The sequence below is a fragment of the Homo sapiens genome, chromosome 13 (assembly GCF_000001405.40).
Source record: "Homo sapiens chromosome 13, GRCh38.p14 Primary Assembly".
NCBI lineage: Eukaryota > Metazoa > Chordata > Mammalia > Primates > Hominidae > Homo > Homo sapiens.
The window spans coordinates 59,509,351-59,530,198 of NC_000013.11; the positions used below are offsets into that span (position 1 = coordinate 59,509,351).

At 38.8% G+C, this 20,848-nt stretch overlaps 1 long non-coding RNA gene across 1 annotated transcript in view; it reads right to left on the minus strand.

Annotated features, from left to right (window-relative positions):
• LOC107984625 (uncharacterized) overlaps nt 1-20,848 on the minus strand; it is a 98,066-nt gene that overhangs the window by 19,281 nt on the left and 57,937 nt on the right. The window contains exons 3-4 of the long non-coding RNA XR_001749886.2: nt 18,148-18,234; nt 10,273-10,395 (exon numbers count right to left, since the gene is read on the minus strand). This is a non-coding gene — a long non-coding RNA (uncharacterized LOC107984625). The remainder of the gene's footprint in view (nt 1-10,272; nt 10,396-18,147; nt 18,235-20,848) is intronic.

Consider the following 20,848-nt stretch of genomic DNA (forward strand, 5'->3'; position numbering starts at 1 on the left):
ATAATTATCGTTTTTTTTTTTTTTTTTTTTTTTGGAGACGGAGTCTCACTCTGTTGCCCAGGCTGGAGTGCAGTGGCGTGATCTTGGCTCACTGCAACCTCCGCTTCCCAGGTTCAAGCAATTCTCCTGCCTCAGCCTCCCAAGTAGCTGGGATTACAGGCACCAGCCACCGTGCCTGGCTAATTTTTATGTTTTTAGTAGAGACGGGGTTTCACCATCTTGGCCAGGCTGGTCTTGAACTCCTGACCTCGCAATCCACGCACCTCGGCCTCCCAAAGTGGTGGGATTACAGGCGTGAGTCACCGTACCCAGCCTCTGTAATGTAATTATCTTAATTTTACATACAGAAAAACTACACCAAATGAAGCAGATCAACTTTGCCACAGCAATCAATGGAAGATTTGTTCCTGAATTTCTGCCTTTCAGTCTCCTAGCTTTTTGCTCTTTCCTTTTGAGGTTGAAGGATTGGGATGCAAGGGAGGTCGGAGATGAAAGACAATATTACAGGAAGCTCTTCTCGAGGTTATCTGTGTCCCACAACATATACAAGATATAGAGTTGTCGGCCGGGCGCAGTGGCTCACGACTGTAATCCCAGCACTTTGGGAGGCCAAGGTGGGCGGATCACGAGGTCAAGAGATCGAGACCATTCTGGCCAAATGGTGAAATCCCGTCTCTACTAAAGGTACAAAAATTAGCTGGGCATGGTGGTGCTTGCCTGTGGTCCCAGCTACTCGGGAGGCTGAGGCAGGAGAATTGCTTGAACCCAGGAGGCAGAGATTGCCGTGAGCTGAGATCACACCACTGCACTCCAGCCTGGTGACAGAGCAAGACTCTGTCTCAAAAAAAATATATATATATATATAGAGAGAGAGAGAGTTGTCAAGCAATTGATTTTGTTTGTGGCTGTGGCTTATAAAATTTGTCCCTTTAGTTTGTTATTATCTTTGAAAAATTAATTGTAAATAGGCATTAGCCTACATTCATGATTTATTGTTTGTTGCACCAGCGTGAAAAGTCAGAACACCGCACTACAAGGGCTCAAATTTTTCTTTGAATTTATAATACTTGTTCTAAAGGAGAAGAAGTGAGATTCTGACAAGCATGGGCTGATTTCCCATTATGTTTCCTAGCTTCTTGGCTCAATAAACTAGACCTTCAACAGTGCCAAACAGACGTTGACTGCCCTGGATCACCCAAGGTATGCTGGAGGCCTTAGGAGACCATATGTTAGGCATCTGACATATGTTAAAAAAGAGCTGGTCATATTTCTGAAGCGGATTTCCATAATGGAGCTTCAGCAGTGCTAGAATCAGCCCTGTAGCTCATCATGTTTAATTCATGCTTAATTACATTTGAATCCGTGAACTTTCCATGAAGTCTTTACAATTGCACTTCCATTGCAGTAGTCGTACTTGCTGAATTTTTCTGCTTTAAAGACAAATGTCAGTGCCTTGTGAAATTTCACAATTATGCTATTCACTGTCATTTTTCATCCAGCTATAAATCAACATAATTTGATGATAGCTGTACAATTATGAAAATACTATCAAGTAGACATCACCTATGTGAACCTAATGCTAACCATTATTGTAATGAAGTCAGTTAAAGTTAGGAAATTCCTAGCCAGCCTGAACTTAACAGAACATGAAGTCATTTAACTTAATTGAAAGCGTTGGTTGAGTTTTTCTACTTCGGCAATAGAAGTTCTACACAAATTAGAGCTGCTTAAGGAAGTATTGCCTCCATAGTTGTCTTTAACACAGAGCAGGCAAGATCACCAGATTCACAGTGGTATTCCATACTCAGTCAACCTTCCTTTCTAAGTACCATTTGATTATCTGCTACTGTCATGTTTACATCAAGTGCTATAAAGCCTGGTATCAGAAAGTCATAGAATCATAGCTGAAAATAATTTTACAGATTCTCTATTCTCTACGTTCATTTAACAAATGAGAAACTCAGACCCAGACTGTCCTAAAAATCACAGTTCTAGGGCAGTAGACTGGAACTGAAGCTCAAATTTCCTGACACCAAAGCCAGGGATAGTTTGGGTCATGCACATGTCAATAAGGGTCATTGAGAGTCACAAGTAAAGCCTGAAGCTTTGCTCCTGCGTGAGAAATGCAATACCAAAGAGTAGAACTTTGTTTCCTTCTCCACCCAAACAGATCATTGCCTCTAGTCTGGCTTTATGCCTGAAAACCTCACCATTGTATGTCTTTCTCTAAATTTACACCGTTGCATTCCTAGGAGAATATTGTTAAAATGGAAATCATGTATTATACAACAGGGGCTATCACCTGAAATTGTCCAAGGAATCCTTCAGCATGAATAACAAGTTGGAAATCAGGGCCTAAATGGGTGGGACAGGGGACAGATCATATTTGATGGAGGTAACTGACAGAATGCAATGACAAGAAGGGACATTGGACATGGTTGAGAACAATAGTGAGTACCTGGAATCTGAAGGTCTGGATAGGAAACAAGCTTTGGAGGGGCAGAAGTGAGTGCTTATAATAGACTGGGAAATAAGAGACAAGGCTCTGATGAAGAGCATTGGAGCAGATGACTAATACACACACACTAGAAACCATGAATGACCAATGACCAGTGTTACCATCTCTGGAGAAGAATTTTATCTCCATTGAGTGTTTTCCTTTTTTAACCCCTTCTCACTCAGAAAAGGCAAGAAAACTTCTGTGTCTATCTTAAATACTCTTGCCTAAGGTTTTCTCTGGGCATGTATGGCCAAAAGGTGGTTGATCCTTTAGCCAGAAAGTCCGTTTTAGAAAAGCTTCCCTGAGTTCAGACAGCAGCAGAAAAGCTCCCAAACAAGTCGTCATCATCCCATCATTTTGCTACAAAGCTTCCTCAAGAATGTTGTAGTAAGTTCTGAAGTCCACGAAGTACAGGAGAAGACATACAGTGAGCATCTGAGCATCTGGCAACACTTATGCCTCCCTCCCCTTTACCCCACCTTCAAACCTTGTGTGTGCTGTGCTGGACAAGGTGATTATGGTGGCACTTAGGGGTTCTAAGCTAAGCAGGTCCTGCTCTGCTTTAAACTGAGTAAATATATAATGGGGTGGGCAATTCCCATTGAGAGGTAACGCCCTCTTGGGATAAGAAGACGTTATAGTTACAAGACACTTTCTGGTGTGTTTAAGTCAATCCACAGCAAGCCCCTATGCTGCATAAATCAATAAGAGTAGAAAGAACACAGAAACACAAACCCTACTGTCACAAGCTTAGAGCCCCATGGAAGAGAGACAGCATCTCTGTAGAAAGATGGCCAAAAATATCAAGGTCAGAGGAAGGGAAGGCAAGAGAGAAATGGGTGGAAAAGGAAAATGTAAATGGGTGAAGGACAAAGGATACCACATATACCTTTAAGTAGACGATAACAACAGTTATGTGAGCACTGTGTTCTCACCACCATGCTATGATTGATATACCTTATCTTATTCGATGGTATTTATGACTTTAGATCTCCCAGAAGAAACTGTAATAATTAGTAGATTCATACCTGTCTCCAAATACTTACCTAAAGGAGAAGTAACTGAGCAAATGTACATCATTTATGGATGACAAAATTGGTGCCTGTGGTTTGATAACAGAAAGTCAATGGCAGAAGCTCTGCCTTATAAGCCTTCCTTGAGAAACACTATCTGCTATTTTATCAGCTTTGCTTTGAATGTCCCCTAATAACTGTCACAGCATCCTGGGTAGAGCAGATGCCCAATATTCACTTCTTGGTTTGCTTAGGGTTATAATTTTTTGTATCCTGAGGGACTCCCCAATTTTGTCATTAGTGAGTGTCCAAATCCTTACCCCTCAGTTTGTTAGCAATTCAGATTTCCAAAATGCTTGACCAAACATAGCCAGAGAAGACCCACTGTGAACCTTTGCCTGATGTATCCTCAACATGTACAATCGTGAACCTCTCCCTCCTTTACCTCCACGTACCCACAAGCTCTTCCAAGTGCAAAGTCACCCAGAAGTACAAAAGGCACAAATGCAATTGAGAGATTCATGATGCAAAGACAAAACGTGGCCCAGAAAGTGCTAGAGGCTGAGGGAACAATAGCGCTTGTCATGCTTGCAACTTAGCTCAGACCCGACCAATCAGGTAGGAAAGAGAGCTCACTAAAATGCTAATTAGGCAAAAACAGGAGGTAAAGAAATAGCCAATCATCTATTGCCTGAGAGCACCGCACGAGGGACAATGATCGGGATATACACCCAGGCATTCAAGCTGGCAATGGCCACCTTCTTTGGATCCCCTCCCTTGTATGGGAGCTCTGTTTTCACTCTATTAAATCTTGCAACAGCAATAAATAAATAAATTAATTAATTAATTAATAATAATAAACAAAGACATTTTCACCCAGAGCAGGCCAAACCTTGGTCTGCCAGCTTTGAAAATGCTGGCCACAATATGACTTCAGTTTGCCAGGATAAAAGAGATTCTTTTGTGGAACACCCTCTGGGTTCAGGGAAATAATTAACTGTGGCTTCCATAGGCTAGGATTATGCCAGGTGGAAAAAACTACGTGCTTTAATCTGCTTGATCTGAAATGTGAAATTGGGCCTAAACACTTACTAGTGCTCTAAATGCTGCTGGGAGAACTGAGGTCTTGTTGCCTTAGACCTTCTGTTCTAAGCCTAGGCTTTTCTTTTACATTTCCACATTAATTAGAATTCTTTATAAGGGAGAGAATAATTGTTCTGGCTATTATGTACTATCAACAGACCGTTTTTAAGCTTTTACCCAAAAATCAGTGATTAGACCTCAGTCAGCATGCCTTCTGGTTACCCTCGCTTAGCCCTTCACACTTGCTGAGCAGGCAATAGTCGATCCTGTGGTTCTGAGATTAGAAAAATATTAGGCCTCCTTCCACCTTTAATCTCTGTGCCTACAGAGCACTGAGGGGAGAAGACCAAAGATGAGTGCTCCTCCTGGGACCAAAGCAGAATATAACTCACTTTTAGAAAAGAGACAGAGAAAGCCCTTCAGAGGCATATGGGAGGCAGGCCTGAAGCAACACAAGGTCACATTCAAAAACTAGGGCACAACCAGGCTGGCAATGCGGACTCTCAAGAATGAGGTGGGTTGGTTTGCACAAAGCAATAAAATGAGACCAGAGCCAGAAGAGCGAGAGGGCATCGGCCTCTCCAGATGGAGACTCTGGATGGTGCTGGATGCTGCTGTGTGTGCCGGCTTGACGGTGGCTTGTCACTGCCATTTATTTGCCATCAGGAGCACAGCCATCATGCATGGGAGGTTACTAAACCAACAAGAAACACACATTCACTGCCTTAGTATGTCACTCTGCTCTGTCCAGTCTTTCTAAATTGTAAGGAATATTTTCCAAAAATAAAGAGGATCCGTGTAACTAAGCACTCAAGGAATAGCAAACACTGTTAATGAAGAGTCAGACTCCATTTTTGAGGATTGAATGCCGACAGCTTTTAAGCCCTACTAGTCCTCCTTCCTCTCTGCCCCACATCTGAGCACGCTCTTAAGACAGCCCAGGTGGTCTCCCTTTTGGCATCAAAAACAAGTCCAAATAACAGAAGCCACTGTCCATGCACAGAACCCTCACCCTGGCCACACCTCACTAATCACTATAAAAATCTCCTTTCTCTGCCTTCTCAAGCTGTTTTCAGACCAGCTTTGGAGCTTTCCTTGCTCTCCACAGAGAGTCTCATTCTATGAGTAATAAACCTTTGCACATTCTTGGTGCATGTATGATTTCATCTCAACCAAATTTGAGTTAGGGGTCCACCCCACCTCTGTGGGTTGACCACAACACATTGTTTAAAATGCATAATGGCAATACTTGGCCAGGAGACATCAAAGACTTTTTGTTTTGTTTTGTTTTGAGAAGCCTATATAGAAATAACCATTCTTGCTGCACTTTATGCAAATAATCAGGCCAAGTATAAAGTTTATTCATAATTAGTTTTTAACCAAAAATGAAAACTGGAGAGAAGAATTTTGCTCCAAAGCTTATCATATATTTGTCATTAATTCCTAGTTTCACGAATTGTTTTCAGGCTTTTCGCCTACATTTTAGACCAACCCTGCTTATCTCTGTGAATCAAGCGGTGATCTCCTGCAGCTTGGACAAAAGAAAAGGGGATGGGTGACGCAAAACTTTAAATCAATATGCTAGTTCTGGGCAATTAACCTGCAAATTATGTCAGGTAATGAAAGTAAGTAGGATGCCCATAACCCAGAAATTTGTTTGGGAAAATAAAACCAAGAAACTTCATAGACCCCCAAAGGGAAATTTTATATCTTAGCAAGTAAAATTTTAGATGGAAATTATCTACTATACCACACTTGTGGGAATCGCTATTCTCACTCTGCTATTTGCAATAGGGTTATACACGGTAGCACCTTCTAACTGAAATATTGGACACAGAGTGTTCATTGCTGTATATTTTGCTTAATTATTATCCTTATAGCAGGGATAATAGTCACTAACAAAAAGGAAGCATGAAAGTTTTGCTATCACTAAGTCTGCTGGAACTTTTTATTGGGTTTAGTAATGCACTTTTAAGTGAAACATGCTGCTTTTGGATCAACACATCTAGTAAAGAAAAATCTACAGGTACTTAAAACCCAAATCAAAATTATTAACAGGCTCTGGGAAAATGCCAGCTTCAGCCCTGGGTGGCTACAATCCCAAGACATATTCTTAAGTGTAGAAAGCAATTTGCAAAACGACATGGGCTGTAAGATTTCATTTATATTAAAATAAGTATTTTTTATATGTGTATATATATAATGATCTGAAACCTGTTAACCAGGGCAGTGCAGAATATGGAGGAGTTGAATATGTTTTAAACTAATTGAAAAAACAGTTTTTACTCATCAAACAGGCAAAGACTTTTTTTTTTTTAATTATACTTTAAGTTCTAGGGTACATGTGCACAACACGCAGGTTTGTTACATATGTATACATGTGACATGTTGGTTTGCTGCACCCATTCACTCATCATTTACATTAGGTATTTCTCCTAATGCTATCTATCCCCCTTCCCCTATCTCCCCACCCCATGACAGGCCTCAGTGTGTGATGTTCCCCGCCCTGTTTCCAAGTGTTCTCATTGTTCAATTCCCACCTATGAGTGAGAGCATGCAGTGTTTGGTCTTCCGTCCTTGCGATAGTTTGCTGAGAATGATGGTTTCCAGCTTCATCCATGTCCCTACAAAGGACATGAACTCATCATTTTTTATGGCTGCATAGTATTCCATGGTGTATAAGTGCCACATTTTCTTAATCCAGTCTATCACTGATGGACATTTGGGTTGGTTCCAAGTCTTTGCTATTGTGAATAGTGCCACAATAAACATACGTGTGCATGTGTCTTTATAGCAGCATGATTTATAATCCTTTGGTATATACCCAGTAATGGGATGGCTGGGTCAAATGGTGTTTCTAGTTCTAGATCCCTGAGGAATCTCCACACTGTCTTCCACAATGGTTGAACTAGTTTACAGTCCCACCAACAGTGTAAAAGTGTTCCTATTTCTCCACATCCTCTCCAGCACCTGTTGTTTCCTGACTTTTTAATGATTGCCATTCTAACTGGTGTGAGATGGTATCTCATTGTGGTTTTGATTTGCATTTCTCTGGTGGCCAGTGATGATGAGCATTTTTTCATGTGTCTGTTGGCTGCATGAATGTCTTCTTTTGAGAATTGTCTATTCATATCCTTTGCCCACTTTTTGATGGGGTTGTTTGATTTTTTTCTTGTAAATTTGTTTAAGTTCTTTGTAGATTCTGGATATTAGCCCTTTGTCAGATGTGTAGATTGCAAAAATTTTCTCCCATTCTGTAGGTTGCCCAAACAGGCAAAGACTTTTTAAAAGTGGATACCCCATATTGATGGGGATGTGAGGAAATGGGCATTCTCTGTACCACCAGTGAGCTTTGGAGAAAACTGAGTTATATATACACATAAATGGCTGCAAAAATGATCAAATCCTTTGACCCAGTAATTCCATTTCCAGTAATTAATCCTAAGGGAAAAAATCAGAGCTATGCTCAGCAATTTATATATAAGAATTACATTAATTTTTATTTCTATGAATGGAACACATGTGCATGTTTGAAACATAAAATAGGTTATAAGGCTTACAATACAGCATAAGCCTCTAGTGAACATAGCAGCCCTGACTCAAGGTTCCCCATTCCCATAAGCCCATTCATCAGATTCCACCTCCCTCCACTCTTTGATGTTTCTTCTAATATGTAACTCCATATTTTTAAATAATATGCTTACCTTGCTGCTTTTTGTTTTGCCAGTTTTAGACCCACTATCTTGATATTATTATTGGGGCCAAGATATCCACTCTCCCCTCATCATCAACCCCACTCATCTTTACTTTCTGTCCTTTCCTGCTCCCAATTTTGTTATATCACAACCTTCATTTAATATCATTATAGCTGTGTAAATATTGCATTAATCCAAGAACTGTGCTGTGATTACATGATTTCCTTTCCAGTACAATGTTTTAAGTTAATAGTTGTTATTTCTATGTAATTATCTCTAATATTTTCCTAATGTTTGCGGATGTTTAAATAGATCATATAGTCAGTCCTCCCTCCCAAGAACTTCCTAGGACTTCCCTTTCTTCCTTCTCTTGTGTTACATGAATATCCATTTTTCTTGGTCTTTATCTTTGTTTACTCCCTAGTTTGCTTAAGCACAACTTCCAGCAGCTTCCCAAAAAGAGGAACAAGGGAGATCCTTCTCTTTTTTTCTTTCACTATTTGTATGTCTGGAAAAACCTTTATTTCTTTTATAATTTCCTCATCTTTGTTTTTGATTTCTCTCTTATTAACCTGATGTTGAACTTTTTAGATTGCTCTAATATCCTTCTCTTTCCTCCGTATTCTGTTTTTGTTCTATTTTCTCAGAGTTCCTCAACTTCATCCTCCAATCCTTTTATTGAATTGTTTATGTTACTACCATATTTCTCATTCTTAAGGGCTCTTTCTAATCCCTTGATTATTTCTTTTTATAGCACCTGTGTTTGTTTTATAGATGTAGTATCTTTTATTGCTCTGAAGATATTAAATATAGATTTTTGTTTTCTTCTTCATCATCTCTGTTTTTTATGGGTCCTTTTTTATTTGTTTGTTTGTTTGTTTTTTCCTTTAATGGTGGATGACTTGCTGAAATATACAGTGTTCTTTGGCTGTACATTCACATTTAAGGCTGGCAATTCCAAAGCTGCTGATTGGAAGCTCAGTGTTCATGATTCTGACTCGTCTATCAGTGGAAGTGTGGCATGCATGGCCATGATTTGTCCACCGATGAGCGAATTTGGAAGATGTTTAGCTCTGAAGTAAACAAGGCTTGGTGAGAGAGCAAATGTTACAATCTGGGGATCCCAACTCTAGAAGTGTTATATTTCTCCAAAAATTATCTAATTCCCTGCTGGAGGCGAGGGAACTTTGTGAATACACATCATACTCCTGGCAGTGGGACAGTGGGAGATCACTGATGATTCTAAATATTGGTGGAGTTTCATTTAATGGCCTGCTTTCAGCTCTGTGCCCTCCCTACTCCCTGCCTTCTATAGTACCGTTGTAAGTACTATGATACCTAGTGTGACTAGGAGAAGGAAGACAGACAAATTGACAGCAGGGACAGATGAAGTGTAGAAACTAAAGAAACTGTTAGATTACTGGAATGAAGTGGCATACTCTTCAGAATAGATGGGGCTGGAGTCTTCTACAAGACCAGTATAGCTTATTGACACTTAAGGTTTCCTAAAGATGAATCCTACTCTTAGGACTAACTCTGGCCAACATAAGGAGATAAAATGTTGTAAGCCGGATAAAAAGTACCAGACAGCAGCCTCACATAGAGTGATATTGCTAAAATAAATCTTCCTGGTAGCTGGTCTGAAGCTCACTGTTTCTGTGTATTGGATTTTAGCCTATTTTTATAGTCATGCATTCCCATAAAGACACTTATTACAGACTGCAAAGACCTGATTATGAAGAGTAGTTACAGAAAATGAATTATGCAAAGGAAAGATCTTACATTCTTAATACAAATACTTGTTAACAAATATGCAGCAGAGAAACAATAGGCTAAAAACCAGCTACTATCTTAAAAATAAATGCTTACTATTCTAAGAAATGTATTGTTTACAAATAACCTGTATCATCTGGTAAATTTATGTGAATGACATCCCACAACTTCAAGCAGATGAAAAGGGTTTAGTCCATGAGGGCTTTACCTTGCGTCATCACTGGGAGGGAACGAAGAAATGTCTCTCCACATTCTTTCTAGACTCTCGGTTCAAGTTAGGCTCATGTCAGGATTAAGAAAATTTCACTTCTCAAGCTACTTTGGTATAATGCTGAAAGAAATAAAGCCAATTGTCCATAAGGTGAGTTCAGAGATGGCTTTGACATGACCTAAAGGATTTGGGGTCCCAACTCCCAGTTTAAGGATGGTGCTTTCTTGCTGCAGATAGCTGAAAAACTGTTCTACTGAACTTCTCTTGCATTAGTCATGGTTCTCCAGAGAATAGAACCAATAGGAGATACACAGACACACCCACACACATACACACACACACACACACACACACACACGGGAATGTATTGCAAGAATTCTCTCACACGATTATGGTGGCTGAGCACCCCATAACTTGCCATCTGGAGAACTAGCAAAGCTGGTGATGTAATTCAGTCCAAGTCTGGGGATGATGGTGCCAAGTCCCAGTCCAATTAGCTTAAACAGAGAGAGAAAATGCACTCTTATTCTTCCTTTTTATTCTGTTTAGGCCCTCAGTGGATTGGATTATGCCCATCCACATTGGTAGGGGCAATCTTTACTCAGTCTACTGATACAAATGCTTTCTTCTGAAAACATACTTATGGACATACCACAGACATTACGTTTTACTATCTGGGCATCTCTTAGCCCAATCAAGTTGACACATAAAATTAACCATCTGTGTACATGTGAGAAGTTCTATAGTGTACAACTCCAGGGAGGTAGACTTAGTACAAACTCCAATAGATACCACATAACAATTCAAATATTGATTAGATGTAATGCCACACATCTACTTATGCATATACCTACCCATATCTAACCATGCTTATATATTATAGTTAGAATAAGTGGTTAAATTATCTTATGGAATGCCTTTCAATCCTCAAGGTTATAAATAGGTACCCCTCCTGTGTGCAAACATGGAATCCTATACTTACTTTACACTGTTAGTAATTATTTACCTATTTACACTTCTGTCTGCTTAGTTCTGAAGGCAGGTATGAGTTGTGATAAATCATTATATACCCTATCTAATGCCTAGCACAGTGCTAGGTACATAGCAGATGCTCAATAAATATTTGCTGCATGAAGGAGTAGCTTACAATGTCTTTACGAAAAGCTCCTTAAAAATCTTGCCTCACTTCTGATTCCTGCTTCTAAATCACCTGGGGTAAATATAAAAGTGCAAAGGGAGTGAAAAAGTAGAGAAGGGTCAAATTGTCAAAATAAATGAACTCTTTTCATGTACCTAAACCTATTTTTGGAACTCAAAAATTGAAAACTACAACTCTATTTATTAAAATATTTTGAAAGAAGTTGATACAATCACTTAGCAAACAGTTTTTACTTTTTTTTTTTTTGAGACAGAGTCTCTCTCTTTCTCCCAGACTGGTGTGCAGTGGCGATCTTGGCTCACTGCAACCTCCACCTCCCGGGTTCAAGCGATTCTCCTGCCTCAGCCTCCTGAGTAGCTGGGACTAACAGGTGCACGTCACCACCCCTGGCTAATTTTTTCTATTTTTAGTAGAGACGGGGTTTCACCGTATTGCCCAGGCTGGTCAGGTTGGTGTCAAACTCCTGAGCTAAGGCAATCTGCCCACATCGGCCTACCAAAGTGCTGGGGTTACAGGCGTGAGCCACCATACCCAGCCTACACTCTTTTAAAGTTTAATTAACATAGCCGATGAACTAGCAATTCTAACATAGCCTATGAACTCTTGCATATGTGCACAAGGGACATGTACAAGAATATTTATTGCAGCTTGGTCCACAACACCTGATAAATGAAAACATCTGAGTGTCAACTGAGAAGAGAATGCTAAAATAATGGAATGGTGAGTGTTCTAAAATAAACTAGCGCTGCATACAACAATAAGGGTCACTCTTAGAAACATGGGGTGGTTCATTTTGTGTGTCATCATGGCTAAGCTATAAAGCCCAGATCTTTGGTCAAAACTTAGTCTAGATATTTCTGTGAAGCTATTTTTATATGAGATTAACATTTACAATCAGTAGACACTATGTAAAGCAGAGTCCCCCAACTCCATAATGTGGGTGGGCCTCATTTAATCAGTCGATGCTCTTAAGAGCAAAGATTGAGGTTTCTCACAAAAGAAGAAATTCTTCCTAAAGACTGCAACATAGAAATCCTGCCTGAATATGACTCCAAAAGCACAAACAACAAAAGTAAAACTAGACAAATGAGATTATATCAAGCTAAAAAAATCTCCTGAACTACAAAGGAAACATTCACCAGAGTAAAGAGACAACCTCTGCAATGGGAGAAATATTTGCAAAGTATGCATTAAATAAGGGGTTAATATCCAAAATACATAAGGAGCACAAACAACTAAATAGCATGAAGTCAGATAATGTGATTTTTTTAAATGGGCAAAATACCTGGATAAAAATTCCTCAAAAAAAGACACATGAATGGCCAATAGGTATATGAAAAATATTCAGTGGTATCTGTAATCATCAGGGAAATGCAAATTAAAACCACAACGAGATATAACCTTACACTTGTTAGAATAGCTGTTATCAAAAAGATGAAAGAAAAAAGGTGTTGGTGAGGATGTAGAGAAAAGGGAAACCTGTATACTGTTGGTGGGAAGGTAAATGAGTGTGGCCATTAAAGCAGTTTGGAGATTTCTCAAAAAATTGAAAATAGAGCTACCATATAATCCAGCAATCCCACTAATGGGTATGCATCCAAAGGAGATGAAATCAGTATATCAAAGAGATTATCTTCACTCCCATGTTCATTGCCCCATTATTCAAAATAGCTTAGATATTGAATCAACCTAATTATCCATCAACGGATGAATGAATAAAGAAAATGTGGTATATGAACACAATAGAATACTAGTCAGCCTTAAAAAAGAAGGAAATCTTGTCATTTGTGACAACATTGATGAAACTGGAGAACATTGGCTTGAGAGAAATAAGCCAGGCACAGAAAGACAAATATCACATGATCTCACTTATATATGGAATTTTAAAAAGTCAAATACATAGAAGCAGGGTGGAATGGTAGTTACTAGTGCCTGGTGGTGGGGGCAGTGAATTGTGTGGATGTTGGTTGAAGAACACAAAATTTCAGTTAGACAGGAGGAATAACTTCATGAGACCTATTGTACAACATGGTGACTATAAGTTCATAACAATATGTGAAAATTGCTGAGCAAGTAGATTTTGAGCTTTCTCATTACAAATAAGTATGTGTGGTGATATATATATATTAACTCAATTTAGCCATTTCACAATGTACACATTTTTCCAAACACTGTGTTGTATACCATGAATATATACAATATTTGTTAATTTAAAACAAATAAAAAAGAGGAAAAAAGAAATCCAACCCTGCCTGAGTCTTCATTTCCAGCCTGCTGGCCTGGCCTAGACATTTTAGACTTGCCAGTCCTCACAGTTGCATGAGTCAATTCCTTAAAATTTATCTTGCTCTCTTTCTCTTGGTCCCTCTCTCTTTCTCCTATTGACTCTGTCTCTGTGGAGAGTCTTGACAAATACAAAACATAAACGTTGGTGCAAAAAAGCATATAAAACTGAGTATAGTGGTACTGTTCTACCATAATTAGAAAGGTCAAATAGAGGGAAAACTAAACAATATAATGTTAGGAATATATACATATGTGGAAAAATTATCTTAGGAAAGGATAAGCACAAATGCATAAATGCATATTATTGCTGTGCATGGAGTCAGGGGAAGTGGCTTCCATTTTGCATGTGTTTGGTAAAGTTCTGCTTGTTAAGTAGGGTGATAGGTTCATGAGTAGTTTATTATTATGCTTTACATTTTACATGTATATTAAACATAGACTTTTTATAAAGCAAATATTTCTTTAATAAAAAATCTTATAGGCGCCTATAAAGGAACGTTGTACTGGGCTTTTTTTTTTTTTTTTTTTTTTTTTTGGCTTAGTGACAGCTTTTAACATAAAATATTTCTTCCTGAAAGTCTCTCTGTTCCTTTTTCTTTAGTAACACTCTTTCCTCTTTTATCCTTGTCCCACATGTATTTTTCACAGCTTCTAATCCATTAACCACTCTGACATATGGATTTAAATGCCCTTCTTATTACACTCTATAGGATCTAATTTCTCTGGGTCCAATTTTCCCAACTCTGTCTCATAACTGGTAGCTTTTTCTATAACCTTTATTTTCAGCCCCCTCATGTGGTTGTAATGCCATTCTCCTTTCTCTCATCTCGCCCTGACTCTGAACTATGTCCCGGGAGAGTGCGGTATCATCCCCTGTTGCCTCCTTCGGCTTTGATTACTTCTCCTCTTAACCTTGTTCTTTTGGTTAAGCAATTCTTCTTGCCCAATAGTTTGCATCTGTGCCCTTAAGTTTCTTTCCTTCAATTCTCTCTTTGACCTTCTCTAATCTGGCTTTTACCCACTTCACTCCATTGAAATACAGAGCTACCAATTACCTCCTCCTCGGGGGCTAAGCCTCCTGGCCTCTGTGCCAGCCTTAGCCTCCTTGACCTTACATCTGCCTTTGATCTTGTGAAACACTCTCTCTGGGTCAATTGATGGCTCCCACAAGGGCCAGCTGAAGCAGCTGGCTGTCCAGGGCATGTTGCATGCAGCAAAGTAGCTCCCAGCTAAAGAGGGGAGCTTTGAGATGAGAATCAGTTTTTCATTTGAATGCTGAATGAAGGATTGATCGAGTACGCTGAAGTACCTTGAGGAAAGAAAGAGCTGCCAATGATTAGAAAATGAGACCTTCTTTCAAATAATTTTACAGCAATTTAACAAATAGGAGTATAAAATAAAAATTCTGAAGGAATTTGAATTGAGTCCAAAGTTCACTGTAATAACTTGTCCCTTTTTTTTCTGAGTAGCATATTTGAGTTTTAGTTTTATAAGTAAATATATGAGCAGCATATTTGGGGTTTCTGTTTGGTTGGTTTTTGCTTAGATTTAGAAAGAGCTAGAAATAATATTTTCTTCTCTAAAATCACACTTTAAAAAAATTTTCTCTCGACCCTTATGGTATGTTATCGCTTATTAAGACTGGATGTATTATTTATAGTACAGTCTGAGTATCCATTATCTAAAATGATTGGGACCAGAAGCATTTCAAATTTTGGGTTTTTTAAATTTTGGAATATTGCATATACATAATGAGATATTGTGGGGATGGAATATCAGTTTAAACATAAAATTCATTTAAATTTCATATATATATACCGGATACACATAGCCTGAAGGTAATTTTATACTTTTTTTCTTTTTTTTTTTTTTGAGACAGAGTCTCACTCTGTCACCCAGGCTGGAGTGCAGTGGCACAATCTCAGCTCACTACAACCTCTGCCGCCCCGGTTCAAGCGATTCTCCTGTCTCAGCCTCCCGAGTAGCTGGGATTACAGGCACCTGCCACCATGCCTGGCTAATTTTTGTATTTTTAGTAGAGATGGGGTTTCACCATATTGGTCAGATTGGTCAGGCTGGTCTTGAACTCCTGACCTCATGACCCACCTGCCTCGGCCTCCCAAAGTGCTGGGATTACAAGTGTGAGCCACTGCACCTGACATTTTTTTTTTTTTTTTTTTTTTTTGTAGAGATGGGGTTTTGCCAAGTTACCCAGGCAGGTCTCGAACTCCTGAGCTCAAGGGATCCACCTGCCTTGGCCTCCCAAAGTGCTGGGATTACAGGCGTGAGCCACTGCGGCCAGTCTATACAATATTTTTAATAATTTTGTGCATGAAACAAAATTTTGACTGCATTTTGTCTGTGACTCATCACATGAGGTCATGTGTGAAATTTTTCACTTGTGGCATCGAGTCAGTGTTCAAAAAGTTTTGGATTTTGGAGGATTTCAGATTTTAGATTTTTGGATTAGGGATGCTCAACCTAGGTGGTGGTTTGAATTTGCACGCGTTGATAATCTGCCCTTGGACGTTCAAGATAGCCTCTCACAACATATCTCCAAATCACAACTGTTGATTTATCTTTTTTTTTTTTTTTTTGAGATGGAGTCTTGCTCTGTTGCCAGGCTGGAGTGCAGTGGCACGATCTTGGCTCACTGCAACCTCGCCTTCAGGGTTCAAGTGATTCTCCTACCTCAGCCTCCGCAGTAGCTGGAACTATAGGCACATGACACTGCGCCCAGCTAATTTTTGTATTTTTAGTAGAGATGGGGTTTCACCATGTTGGCCAGGATGGTCTCGATCTCTTGACCTCGTGATCCGCCCGCCTCAGCCTCCTAAAGTGCTGGGATTACAGGCATGAGCCTCTGTGACCGGCCGATTTATCTTTCTAAATTTATGCAGTTTAGTTGAACAGGACCCTTTGCTCTCCCTTATGCCTTTGCTTTCCCTCTTTGGTAGCTCAGTTCCTACAGTTTTTGTCTGCATTTATTTTCCCCCCGACTGAAAGACTTCTTCGCCCTCTAATTTCCACTGGTCAAAATTCCTCTCATTATTTGACTAGCACTAGTGCTCAGTTTGTACCTTCCCTGACCTTATTTTGTTTTGTTTTATGTACTTGTCATGTTAGTTCTTTAACTCTGTATTTTGAAATACTTTCAAACTCACAGAAAAGTTACAAAAATTATACTGAACATACACCCTTTGCACAGATACACACTAACATTTGCAATATTTGTTGTACCTTTTCTTTTCTCTGTGTATGTGTGTTATGTATAATATTTCCTTCCTGAACTTCTTTTGAATAGGTTGCATATGTCATGCCCTTTTATTCCTTAATATTTCAGTGTGTATTTCCTAAGAATAAGGCTATTCATTTATGTAACTGTGGAGATTTAACAATGATATATACCTTTTAACAAAGCAGTCTATATTCCAACTTTGTTCATTGTTCTACTAAAGTCCTTTATGATATTTGCTTTTACTTTCAGTGCAGAATCCAGTCTAAGATCACATGTTGTATATAGATTGCATTTATTCTAAGTTATGCCATGTATCACTGCAACTAGTAAGCTATCTGGGAGTAGTCATATTAAGAACATATAAATATCCTGCTCTTCATCACACTCTTCTCCACAGATTTAGCATCCATTGATGATTCTTGCCTGAATCAATCTTTACTATAATAATTGTAAAATGGTTAATTTTCAACTTCACTATCCCATCCATATTTATCTGTCTAAATTAACCTGTAAGGAAGGGCCCTCTTCTTTCCCATTTTTATTTACTATCTAATTATTTTCAGTATAGACTCACAGATTTCTATTTTCTTTAATGAGTTATGCCCTTATTTACATCCATGGTTAAAATCCTTCTGTATTTGGCCAGTGAAAACCTCTTCAAGCTGGCTTGTGTATCCTTTCAATATGTCCATAAATGTTTTGATTACTTCCTTACTTTCTGGTATAACAGAATGGTCCAGGCTCATCTTGGACCTTCCCTGCCCCAGCCCTGAAAGAAGCCATTTATTTATTGGCATCACACACATTATTATAAAACCTGCCATATGCCAGGCACTCTGCTAGGCTCCACAGATATGGTGATGGGCCATACTAGACACTGTGTTTTTCCTAATGGAAGTAGATAAGACAGACATTAATTTTTTTCTTTCCCCATGCCTCACACTCATTTACCCTGTGTTTTGTGAAGTACACGAATTTCTTACCAATTGGATTAAAAGGTATTGGAATGAGTCTTAAGTTACCTTCTGATAACCTCTAAATTTCTCTCTTGTCTAAATCTAGGGCAATGTGTTCTTGCAGTCCTATAAGAAATAACTCTGACTCAAAGGCCATATTTGGCTAGCAGAGAAGGTTGTTGTAGAGAGCTTCTGTCCTAGGATTGGAGCCCATTTCAGTGTCTCCTGCTCACCTGGCTCCAGGGTCCAATGAAAGGCACGATGCTGGGGTAGAAGACACATCATGTTGGCTGTTAGGAACACAGGACATTGGATCGAAACTTTAAGGAGGAGAAAATAATGCCCAAGTCAGAGATCTGGGTTACTCAAGACCAGCATTGTTGAAAACCACAGCTTCCCCAGTCCCATATTGCATGATTTTCCATCTTGCCCCATGTGCTACAGTCACATAGGCTTTCTTTACATCCCTTGAAAAAGCCAAGCTCCACCCCACTCCACCCCACCATACCACACACAGCCAAGAGTCCCTGTGCTCTCGTGCACACTGTGCTCATCTTTCACATTTATAGCAGCCATTTCTGACCATTCCACCAAGACCCTTGTGCACCCTGTTCATTCCTTTAACATTACCTTTAGAGTCAGCAATACAGAACCTTGAAGAATATAACAGGGAGCTTGGATTTTTATTCAAGGGCAATAGACTTTGAAAAAGGGAACAATCATAACATTTAAGATAATTGACTACAGATGTACCCTCTCACTTGAGCTAAGAAACTTAACAACCTAGAAGAAAATGTTAGTACTCTCACCTCTATAATCTAGAAGGCTTGCTTGCAATCTGAAAAACTAGAAATGAACAAATCATTGCACACACATTCAAAATAAATGAAATGTCCCATGGTGAGGCTCTAAGCAGAACCTCCTGTCTTATCTAAGGATGCTACTTCCTGCTTTGGTCATGCTGTTTGAAAGTTATTAGTGTGACTGGTAGGTACACCTCAGGGACTTTTGAGAATGTAATTTACAACATTTAATATAGATGAAATGTGAATGCTTTTCATACCCAGTTGTGCATAGCTGAATGCTTAAGGGTGGAGTGCTGAAAAAGTGTATTTGTGCTAGCAATGCTAAATCATAAAGACCTTTCTTTATCTCCATAACCCTACCATCTTCTCTTATTATCTGGAAAGTAGTGGGGGACAGCAAAATGTTCCAAAAGAAATGGTATCTTTGGAGTCTTTTAATCATCTAAAATTTGGGAGTTTGGGATCTTTAAAAAATGTTATCAATTAATCTGGAAATTGAATAGTAAAATAATCAAATTTTGATTGCTTTAGTCACCTACAGATAAAAGCATCTATTGGTAAGATTTGAGGGATTTGCTCTTTAAAACATTAGATGAAAAAAAGACTTACATAGAATTTTGTATTATTATTTCAATTATAAAAGCAATACACAAAATAAGCTGGTATCTTAAATTGAAAAAATAATGAAATAAGATAAATTTGCTATAATCTCACCATCCAAATGTACTAGCAACTATTATCATTTTGATATGTGAATGAGAGAATTAGGGTCAGCCTGTAAAGAGAATTCTACAATCTGACTTTTTGTCCTTAATTTCTATTCTGAGCATTTCACCTTGTCATTAAATAATCTTCAAAGCCATATTTTTAGTTCCCACATGTAATTTCAGCCTGGGCATACACCTGACTTATTTAACAACTTCCTTGTCTTTGCAAATGTACGTTGTCCCCAATTTTTACTTATGATGAATAAGGTTGTAGATTTCTGGTTTTAAAAATGTCAGACTGATCACACACACTTTAGCCTTCTGCTTCCCCAAACCCTGCTAAAATACCAGAAAAGGGGCATTAATCCATAAGGAAAAAAAGATAGTGCAAGAGGAGATCTCAGCAAATTAAAGATTTCAGTGTATTTTTGGAAGATAAAAATAGAAGAGACCTCAGCAAGTTAGAGATTTTAATACATTTTTTGGAAGACAAAGAATAGAGAGGAGTAACTGACTCAGTAGAAGAAGGCTGCAGAGGGGTGCCAATGGGAAGCCAACAAATTGGTACTAATGAACACTGAGACGCACAGCTCTTTAAAATATTTTGCAATCTCTTTCCTATAAACAACACTTCTAAATATCTCTCTGCAATACCTAGTTAGGAGTGACAATGCGTTTCTAACCTTGATCAAATTATAAATCCATAAGCTCTCACAGGGCCATGTGTGAAAGGGACTGAGTGAAGTAGTCAGAAGAAGGAAGACAGTTGTTGGTCACTGGTGATTTGGGGAGGACGTTTATTTATAGTGCACAGTTGAAAACAGGGAGTAGGTGCATCTTGCACTTTCATCTTCACCCACTCCTTATCCTTCACTGTGCAATTTCTGATGAGTTCTCACTTTGATTTATAAAGCCACAATGTGCCTTTTCAGAATAAACACATATTCCAGTCTATAACTCTCTGGAATTTCATTCACTAGACCCCAGCTGTAAGCCCATTGACCTTTTTCTTGTGTGCAATGTAGATTCTATATATCTCGTGTTATTCTGTGCATATATTGAAAATGTTTGAACATATAATTTATTAAGTCATGGCAGGAACTATAAGTCTTTTTATATGACTTCCAAAGTAGCCCACCTTATACCAGCAAGTTTAATAAAAACTTCTGATGGACAAAATAAGTAGCTCTTATTATATTCAAATATGGGTGCTTTGTTTTTTTGACACTTTTCCCTGGTGTAGGTAACACCAGACTTGAAGACTTCTTACCTCCATGCTATCATAGCTCTTCTATTACTGCATTTATCACTTCACATTATAACAGTTCACAGAACTGTCTCATACACTATCCTGTGAGATCGCTGGGGTCAGAAACCATATTTGTATTCCTTCAATACACATTTTTTGCACCTGCTACATA